This window comes from Homo sapiens, chromosome 2 (assembly GCF_000001405.40).
Source record: "Homo sapiens chromosome 2, GRCh38.p14 Primary Assembly".
NCBI classification, from domain to species: Eukaryota; Metazoa; Chordata; class Mammalia; order Primates; family Hominidae; genus Homo; species Homo sapiens.
This window is the reverse complement of record NC_000002.12, coordinates 57,778,384-57,789,076: the sequence shown is the minus strand read 5'-3', so window position 1 is coordinate 57,789,076 and position 10,693 is coordinate 57,778,384. Positions and strand designations below refer to the sequence as shown.

General features: G+C 33.8%; 1 long non-coding RNA gene across 1 annotated transcript; it reads left to right on the top strand.

The window, feature by feature from the left end:
• Positions 1-7,587, top strand: LOC105377628 (uncharacterized). Its single transcript, XR_940110.3, has 3 exons — positions 1-3,265; positions 6,383-6,540; positions 6,739-7,587. It is a non-coding gene; the product is annotated as an uncharacterized LOC105377628 (long non-coding RNA).
• The last annotated feature ends 3,106 nt before the right edge of the window (positions 7,588-10,693 follow it).

Genomic DNA, 10,693 nt, shown 5'->3' with positions numbered 1-10,693 from the left:
ATGAAAAAAATCTAATAATCTGGTCAAAAGATGGGCAAAATATTTGAATAGACATTTCCCAAAAGAAGACATGCAAATGACAAACAGGCATATGAAAGGTGCTCAACATCATTGATTATCAGAGAAATGCACATCAAAACTATAATGAGATATCATCTCGCCCCAGTTAAAATGGCTTATATCCAAAAGACAGGCAATAACAAATGCCAGCAAGGATGTGGAGAAAAGGGAACCTTGTACACTGTTAGCGGGAATGTAAGTTAGTACAACCACTATGGTGAACAGTTTAGAGGTTCCTCAAAAAACTAAAAATTAAGCTACCATACCATCTAGCAATTCTCCTGCTGCATATATATCTCAAAGAAAAGCAATCTGTATATTGAAGAGGTATCTGCACTCCTATGTTTGTTGCAGCATTGTTTACAATAGCTAAGATTTGGGAGCAACCTAAGTGTCCATCAACAGATGAAAGGATAAAGTAAATGTGGTACTTATACACAATGGAGTACTATTTAGACATAAAAAAGAATGAGATTCAGTCATTTACCACAACATGGGTGGAACTGAAGGTCATTATGTTAAGTGAAATAAGACAGGCACAGAAAGACAAACATCACATATTTTAACTTATTGGTGGGATCTAAGAATCAAAAATATTTGAATTCGTGTACATAGAGAATATAAGGATGTTTACCAGAGGCTGTGAAGGGTAGTGGGGAATTAGTGGAGAGGTGGGGGTGGTTAATGGATACAAAAAGAAATAGGATAAATAAGACCTACTATTTGCTAGCACAACAGGATAACTGTAGTCAATAATAACTGAACATTTTAAAATAACTTAAAGAGTGTAATTGGATTGTTTGTAACTTAATGGATAAATGCTTGATGGGATGGATATTCCATTCTTCATGGTGTGCTTATTTCACATTGCATGCTTATATCAAAACATCTCATATACCTTATAAATATATATAACTATACCCACATAAATTAAAAATAAAAAAATTAAAAAGGGAAAACCATAGGTTTGACTACATAAAAATGTAATAATTTTTGAATGGAAAAAACATCCTTGGAGAAAATAACCTAGAAAAACTATTAGCAGCAACTATTTCAGAGACATTGCATCTTCATGGTCAAAGAATTCATATAAGTTGACACCTAGAATGCTAAAATCCTAATAGAAAAGTGGACCAAGTACAGATTAGAAAAGTTACAAGATAATTTTTAACATATTAAAAAGTTCAATTTAACTAGGAATTAGATATGTACCCATAAACACACCAATGATTTAAATGAAGTTGTTGAGATTTTGTTGAATATCCTTCCAGTCTGTGTTATCTATCCTATCTGTACCTATTGCTTGATCTGTCCATCTATGTACTTACTTTGTATGTCACTCTTCATCCATTTAGCTATCCATCCATTTACACATTTTTTTTGAAAAGAGATCATAATGTATACTTTTTTTTGTTTTTTCCGTTTAACGTATTTTGAACTTCTCATATCATTGTACGTTCATTACGTTCAAATCTTTGCATCTTGTTACACTGCATGGATGTACCGTAGCTTATTCAAATGAGCTGTCTTACTGGGCACTTATGTTGCTTACACTTTTTTAACAGTTACATATTGAACATCATCACACTGATCAGATTATTTCTAAAGGTAAATTTGGAAAGGTTGGTTTTGCTGTTTAAAAAGTGTGCAAATGTTTCAGACTTTTGCTGCATATTGCTAAATTATTCACCTTTCTACCAGTAATACATCAGAGTAAGCACTCGCAAATTCTTGTAAACACTGGCTAGTATAGTTAGAATTTTATGTCAGTAAAAATGATTGGCAATATCTTACTTTTTTACTTCGCTTTTTTTGATTATTAAAGTGACAAACATTATTTTGTGGTTTTTGGTCATTTTTTGGTGAAATTCCTAATCATATCACTTCTCCCAATTTTTCCTTTGATATATTAATCTTTTCATTATTTATAAAGGTTACATTTATATTTAGGTAAATATGCCTTTGAATTATGTAGATTTTTTTATAGAGAGAAATTTTTTAAAATCTTTAATTAACAAACTTACCAGCTTTGTGCTTCATGGTTTCTACTTTCAGTGTTATAATTATAAACCCCTACTGGAAACCAAGATTATATTAACTAGAAGGAGAATATTTTGATTCATCTATTCCATTTTCCTCCAGGTTTATAGTTGGATCTTTCATTATAGAATGTATGATCAATGGGATTTTTTAACATAGAGCCTTAGAGGAAAACTCAGGACCACCTGGTTTTTAATTAAAATGAATTCTTTTAGAAGATTATATTGTGAATATAGCTTCCTAGTGACTTCCTTCTTAGTATTCAAGTTGGGCTCACTGGAAGGACTGAATTGTATTAAGATCTTAGGTTAGCATAATTATTTTTAATGTTAATGTTTTTATATATAGTGACCGAGTTATTCTGGATTTGACTAAGTAACAATATACTACTTTAGTAACTCACTTGAGTTTTGTTTTGTGAGGAAATTTTATTACTCAACATTCATATCTTAGAAGGTCAAATTATTCTAGAAGATACTGCTTTGATTTTAGAGGAACAGGTTTATTGATCTGGTGAGAAAATCACTGGTGAGTGAATCCCAAGCATTCACTAAATTAGTAAATTTAAAACATGATAACTGCTATGGATTGAAAGGTGATCCTTGTTTTGAAGGAATTGAAAAGGAAAAGTAATCAATACGTTTGTGAGAAGGTATATCAGGATGCCTGGCTTGGCTTTTTCTAAACCACATAACACTTCCCACTCTATTCTACTGGCATTGAGTGTATTATTAGTCGCATGTGTGTTTGCATTGGAAAGACAGTGAGTATCAATGCTCTATCACCAAGGACAGTGTGTTTTAATCACTTGGATCTTCTTAATAAAAAATACAGATTTTGAATTTGTGGGTTTTGACTGGACCTGAGATTCTGCATTCCTATTAAGTCTCCAGATAAAAAGCACTGTGCTGGTTCATAGACTCCTCCTTGAGTAGAAAGTGTGGAAAACTCTTGTATTGACACTTTTACTTCTCCATAAATAAAGTAATAGGTAAAACACATGAAATAGTAAAATTGCAATACAGTAAAAACATTAAACATCTTGTAAGTATCAAGTAAAGCAAATGCTTTTCTCATGTTAATGTTTCTTTGGTTACAGAAAGACCCAAGCTGAGAACCTAGAAGGGTAGAAGGAAAATATATTTTTCCTCTTTTATTATGAAAGGTAGGATCCTTTAATAATTTGACGTTAATGGTGTATATGATAGCTGTGTAGGTATCTGAGTCTAGAGAAACAAGGATAGTGCCTCTCATCTTTGTGTTTCATCTTCTGCCATAGGCATTGCCAGGAGTTCCATTTGGAGAGAAGCAGAAAACACGATTTGGGGTAGTGTTTAACTGCCAGTTCAGGCTTCAACAAAAAAAGCTGATCTCATTTCTGCCCAGTTTAGGTGCACACACGCACACACACACACACACACACACACGTATATATATTTGATATAAAATGTTGAACTATTTTGAAATATAGTTGAATACTACTGTATTAGAATAGTGGTTCTTATTTTTTCTTCAAACTAGCAAATGTCATATGATTTCAACACAGAAGTTGATCAACATGTCTAAAAAGAACAGCTATCCATAGCCAATACTTTAAGCATTTATTCTCTTAGAATATCAGCTGGGAAGGTAACATCCTTCTGGATATTTTTGTCATATTTGGGTATTTTTGGCCCTCCATGAAGATGAATAGTTTCTATTTTTTATGGTCTTTGATAGTAAAGTAAAACTCTGTATTATAAACTTTAGATGTTTCCTTATGTTTTATAATTTATAACTAAAATTTTTGAAAGGCCCGAGCAAGGTTAATGACCAAACTAATAAAGCATGCTCCATGGGATGCCTTACCTCTTAGACAAATACGTAGCGCTACATTTATAAAGTTCTATTTTGTGGAGTACCAACAAGAGTCATTTTCAAGTGAGTAAGCTTTTTAGTCTCAATTTTGCCATCTGACAATCACTTAAGTATTGCCCAGTTCAAGGGTATATATTATAGCCAATCCCAAGTAATTTCCACTTATTTTCCAATACACAGTGTTATGTTCTTTGAAAAATGTAATACAATGTGTATGATACCATGTGAGTTTTGATGCAAACTTTATCACTAATGAGATATTACTGAAGAATTTCTTGGATTGTGAGCCCTTGGGAGGCAGCTGGGGAGATGGATATGTCCTCTTACTTTCTTTGTTTTCCTAAAAACTGATGTACAGTGTAGAGAGTCAGTATGTCTGTGTATTTCAGAGACATGCTCATAATGCTTATTTTATTTCCCAAGACATTATTCTTCTGATTAGAGTTTTGTTGTTTCTGTTGTTCGTGTAGCAGTGGGAGTTTATCATTACTTATTTAGACAATGCATAGATTGAATTTTTTCTCTTTATTTTTTGGGGGCCTAAACATTTCATGTCTTACCAGTTGCATGTATTCATAAAATGTCTTCATCATATTATGATTCTGTTCATCACTTAAATGGATCCAGTAAAAAAACTATGATGGTATAAAGAGAGCATGGGATGGCAAACTGAAGTCCATAGGCCAAATCTGACTCACTGCCTGTTTTTGTAAATAAAATATTTTTACCTGTTTGTCTGGAACACAGCTATGCACATTCATTTAGGTATCTTATATGGCTGCTTTTGCATTACAAAGGCAGAGTTGAATAGCTGGGATAGAGACCATATGAATTGTAAAACCTAAAATATTTGCCAATTAGCCCTCAAACCCATGATGTTAAGGGATGATATAGAGAAGGTGATTATTGGGTCATCTACTTCTTCACACAAAATTCATTCAGTATTCATCCAGCAATATCAGGTAAACCAATGGGGGGACTTATAAGATAAAACAATGAAAAGGAAAAATAATCTTCATTTCCCTTCTGATAATATGCAGAATAGATACCCTGAACCACACTCCCGTAAAAATGTTTAAAGATAAAATAAAACTGTAAAATTGCATAGTAGAGCTAGCAAGAAATTTTGGCTTCCTCCGACTCCAGCAATAAACTGAAGGTGGGAATAGGCGAAGATAGATAAGCTAGTAATCAAGTTGGGTTTTGCCTAGGAGGCTTTTGCATGACTACAGTGAAGCTGATCTTTGATTTTGATGTCTCGGCAGGGTACACAAGACTTGAAACAAATCTACTGCCTACATAAGATGTAAGGTCTTTTGGGAGACTGTTACATGACTCTGGTACCCTAAAAGGCTGCACTTTTAGCTTAAGGGTGAACTAGAAATAAACTTCCATAAACAGGATAAATTTCTTATACAAAACTTTGGTGGTAGGTAGAAAGGGGTGGGAAACATCTTTGCAATTTTATAATACAATCTGGCCTTGTTTGGACCCAAGTTAAAACATCTCTGTGGAAACAATAACCAAACAAATAGAAAAAACTCATGTAAAGGATTTATTTTAAAATGGTACCTCATTTGTAATGGTCTGGAAGTAAATAGAAATCCACTTTATAAGAAATTACTTTCAATTCAGGCTTCATAGAATTCCTAAAGATAAAGTTACAAGGGAAGTGAGTGCATAATCAAAAAAATAAAACTTCCACATACAAACAAGGAGATAAATCACCGTGAATGAGAACCAACAAAAATAATAGCAATAATAACCAGTAGAAATTTAACAAAATAAATTTATGCAATCATAAAATTAGATTAATATGTCTAAAGAATTTGAAGATTGGTAGAAAAATAGACTATCAAATCAGATTTGAAAAATCTAAATTTAACAATAAAATCACTATTTTAAAAAAAATTAAAGAATTTGTTAAGTAGCAAACAATACAGAGGCTAAGAGAGTATGAGGGAACTGGAATATCTGAAGAAATAATTCAGAAGGACAAAAGGATAGAAAATACAGAAGAAGACAAGTGGATAGACATGTAATAATAGAAAAAACCTCACATATTTCTAACTGGACCCTCAGAAGGCAAGGTTAGAATGTCAAAAAGGCACTATTTAGAGAAATAATGGGAAAGAATTTGCAGAACTGATGGAAAATTTTTAACTTTTAATTAAGATACAGAAGTCTCAAAGGATACATAAAAATAAACCCCAAACTTGAAGATTCATAATGAATCTGCAGAAGACAAAAGTATAGAAAAGATCTAAAAAGCTGCTCAGTGAATAAAAAACATTACACACAAAGAAAAAACATTACACACAAACATTACAGCTGACATTGCAATAATAGTAATAGAAGGTAGAGGAAAGTGTGGAATTGTATCTGCATATTGAAAATAATTGTCTTCTTGGAATTATGCATCCAGAAAACTGTCCACTCAGAATGAAGTAATATGAAGAAAACTGATGATAAATATGTGCTGACAGAATTAACTACCAACACTCTTACCAAAGAGAATTTTAAAATGAGTCCTTCAGGAAGAAAAGCAATCCCATTTTGAAAGTCTAAGATTAAAAAAAAAAGGTAAGTGTGTAGAATTCTAATTTGAGGGAATAATTAACCGAAATACTGCCCCAAAATAATATTTGGAGGAAACAATTAGAGTTAAAGCGTTCCAAGTTTCTTGTAAAGTTTGGAAAGAATTTTAAAAGATTGGTTATCTTCAGGTTTTAATTTAAGTATATTTATTAAAATTTCTTTTTTTTTTCTTTTTTGAGACAGGGTCTCCCTCTGCCACCTGGGATGCAGTGCAGTGGCCTGACCACAGGTAATTGCAGCCTCCTCATCGCAGGCTCAAGCGATCCTCCCACCTCAGCTTCCCAAATAGCTGGGACTACAGACACACACCATCACACTGGGCTAATTTCTGTACTTTTTGTACAGATGTGGTTTTGCCATGTTGCCCAGCCTGGCCTCAAACTCCTGGACACAAGTGATCCTCCCATGTTGGCCTCCCAAAGTGCTGGATTTACAAACATGAGCCACTGTGCCTGACCTTTGCTTATTAAAATGTCTAAAGAACTACTAAAAGATAAAATGTGTATCTAGCCCTCAGGTTATTAGAAGGAAAATTGTAGTGAGGAAAAAAATCAGTATAAAAGTCATTAAAGTAGGTAATAAGAGAGTGGAAAAAAATGTGGTAAATAGAAAGCACAACTAATTAAATGAATGAAAGTTTTCAGTTAAAAAGCAAAACAGCTTAAACTTTTTGTTTAGAAGCTAGGAACATTTTTTTAAAAAACAAAAATCTTAGCCTAAAAGAAACGAACGCGGCCGGGAGCGATGGCTCACGCTTGTAATCCCACCACTTTGGGAGGCCAAGTCAGGCAGATCACGAGGTCAGGAGATCGAGACCATCCTGGCTAACACGGTGAAACCCCATCTCTACTAAAAATACAAAAACTTAGCCAGGCGTGGTGGCGGGCGCCTGTAGTCCCAGCTACTCAGGAGGCTGAGGCAGGAGAATGGTGTGAACCCGGGAGGTGGAGCTTGCAGTAAGCCAAGATTGTGCCACTGCACTTCAGCCTGGGTGACAGAGCAAGACTCCATCTCAAAAAAAAAAAAAAAAAAAAAAAAGCATGAAACTTAAGTAGTGAAAAAAAAGTACCAGGCAAACATTAACCAACAAAATCTGGGATAGGTATATTTATATAAGATAAGATAGATCTTAAGGCAGTATAAAAATAATTTTATTTTATTTTATCTTTTTGAGACAGTCTCACTCTGTTGCCCAGGCTGGAGTACAGTGGTGCAATCTCCACTCACTGCAACCTCCGCCTCCCGGGTTCAAGCTATTCTTGTGCCTCAGCCTCCCGAGTAGCTGGGATTACAGGTGCTTACCAACACACCCGGCTAATTTTTTGTGTATTTTTTTTTTTAAGTAGAGATGGGGTTTCACCATGTTGGCCAGGTTGGTCTCGAACTCCTGACCTTGGGTGATCCACCCACCTTGGCCTCCCAAAGTGCTGGGATTACAGGCATGAGCCACCATGCCGGGCGGGCCAAAAAACGATAATTTAGATATAAAGTGGGCCAAAACATACTGACGAAAGTTTCACTTAAGCAAGATATAAAAGTTCTAAACTTTATGTACTTAAAACTACAGCTTCAAAATATGTAAAGCCCAAATTGATAAAACTACAAAAAAAAAAAAAAAAAGGCAGGTGTACCAGATTTGAATATATGTCTCTAGGAATTTACAGACCAGGAGGAATTGAATAACATAATGTAGGCAACTTTTTTTTTTTTTTTTTTTTTTTTTTTTGAGACGGAGTCTCGCTCTGTCGCCCAGGCTGGAGTGCAGTGGCACAATCTCGGCTCACTGCAATCTCTGCCTCCCAGGTTCATGCCATTCTCCCACCTCAGCCTCCCAAGTAGCTGGGACTACAGGCGCCCGCCACCACGCCAGGCTAATTTTTCGTACTTTTAGTAGAGACGAGGGGTTTCACCGTGTTAGCCAGGATGGTCTCAATCTCCTGACCTCGTGATCTGCCCGCCTCGGGCTCCCAAAGTGCGGGGATTACAGGCATGAGCCACCACGTCCTGCCAATGTGGGCAACTTTTGTGGGAGAGATGTATAGGGAATACTATCCCCAATGACCATGAGAGATATAGAAAAATAGCCAAATTTGATCAAGTTCTAATGTCTTAATTAGAAAAGGATTGAGAATAAGTTCAAAGATAATAGGAGAAAGGAAATAACACACATAAAGGTCTAATTAATAAAATAATACAAAAAGAAGAAAATGAGTGTTAAAAAAGATCAAAGCTGGTTCATTAAAAAGACTGGCAAGAGAGTTCAAAAGCCCAAAAGAGGACAAAATAAATAGTATTAAGAATGAATCAAAAATGAAAAAGTTCAGCAGTTTAAAGTGATTTGAAAAGGGCATTATGAACATCTTTATGCTGCCAAAGTTGAGACCATGTGAAATGTTAAATTCCTAACATAAATTACCAAAACAGAGTGAAAAGAAATAGAACAATTGAATGTCCATATCCATTAAATATTTGAATCAGTAATCTTCTCTTCAAGTATCACCACTGCCACACAATTTTGTTGGGATCTTTTACGAAAACTTTAAGGAACTGAAAATTCCAATCTTATAAAATTATTTCAGAAGACAGAAGAAGGAAGTCTACCCTCTAACTTATTTTTTGAGACGGTGTAAGAAATAATTATAGCCTTATTTCTTAGGTTTAAAAAGTTAAAGTATTAGCAGAATAAATCTAAGAATGTATAGACATTGTATCAAAACTAAGTAGCTTTTTTTTTTTTCTAAAAAAAAGGGGGAATGAAAGGTGGCACAGCATTAGAAAACAATTATTTTGTAGATCCAGAAAAATTAATTGATAAAATTCAATAATAATGATTAAAATTTTAGCAAAGCAGGTAGAAAAAAATTCTTAACCACATAACAGGTTTCTAAATCAAATAGTATCAAAATAAATTGTGAAATATTGAAAGTTTTATCTTTTTCAATGTGGACTTGGATAATGTGATTTTAAAATGTGTATGGAAAAGCAAGAAAAGCCAAGACACTCCTGCAGAAGAACAGTAAGGATGGAGGACACGCCCTACCAAATATAAATTCTTATTATAAAGTTAGAATCGTTAAGATTTATGTTGTTTGTTCAGGTTTAGACAAATAGGCCAGTGGGAACAGAAGAGAAAGCCCAGAAACCAACACTTTCGTTAAGACCCCACTGACATGTCAGTGAGGGAAAGTACCGAGTACAATAAGGTGTGCTGAGACAGGTGCTTGTCAATATGGGGGCAAAAAAATAACCTAACTTGCCTCACTCTTTGTCACAATATATACAAAAATTAGTTCCATTTATTAAAAGCCTATTAAAATGTGAATTTCTAAAATTTTGGAAGACAATACAGGAGAGTATATTTTTGTCTTGGGGTTAAGAAGTTTTAAATAAAAACAGAATTAGACAACAAAGGCAAATTTGACTTCATAAATATGTATCTGTTTCGATAGATATCATGAAGTGAAAATAGACCACAAATGTGAAGAACATGTTAACTATATATATGTGTGAATGTGCATGTAAAATATATACATACACACGTATTGACAAAATATTAGAATCTATAATGTACAAAGATATCGTACAAATTTATATGTAAAAGACAACTAATACCAAAGTAAAGACAAATTTGCATTTCACATTAAAGGATGCATGATTAGGAAGCGAACAAAAAATGTTTGACTGCATTAGCTGTCATAAAATACAAATTGAAATTATAATAAAATACCATTTACAGTTAACAGATTGGTAGAAGTTAAAAGTCTTCAATATCTTGTGCTGGTAGAAATGCAGAAGAATAGGAACTCTTATAAAATGTATTCAGAAATGAAAATAGTTAGAACCCCTTTAGAAATCATTCTGTATCATATAATCAAGTGGAACATATAGATTCCCTACAATCCAGCAGAATTTATCCAACAAAAATTCTTTACAAGTGTACTTGTAGATATGAAAAATAACATGAATAAATATTTTGTTTATAGTAGCAAGGGAAGTGGAAAATATCCCAAATATCCATTGTCAGTAGAATGGATAAGTGAATTTTATGTATTCATGAAATGCAATATTATAAGGCAATATGAATGGACTTGCTACAACTATATATATTATGAAGTCTAAACGGCATAGTATTGAGTGA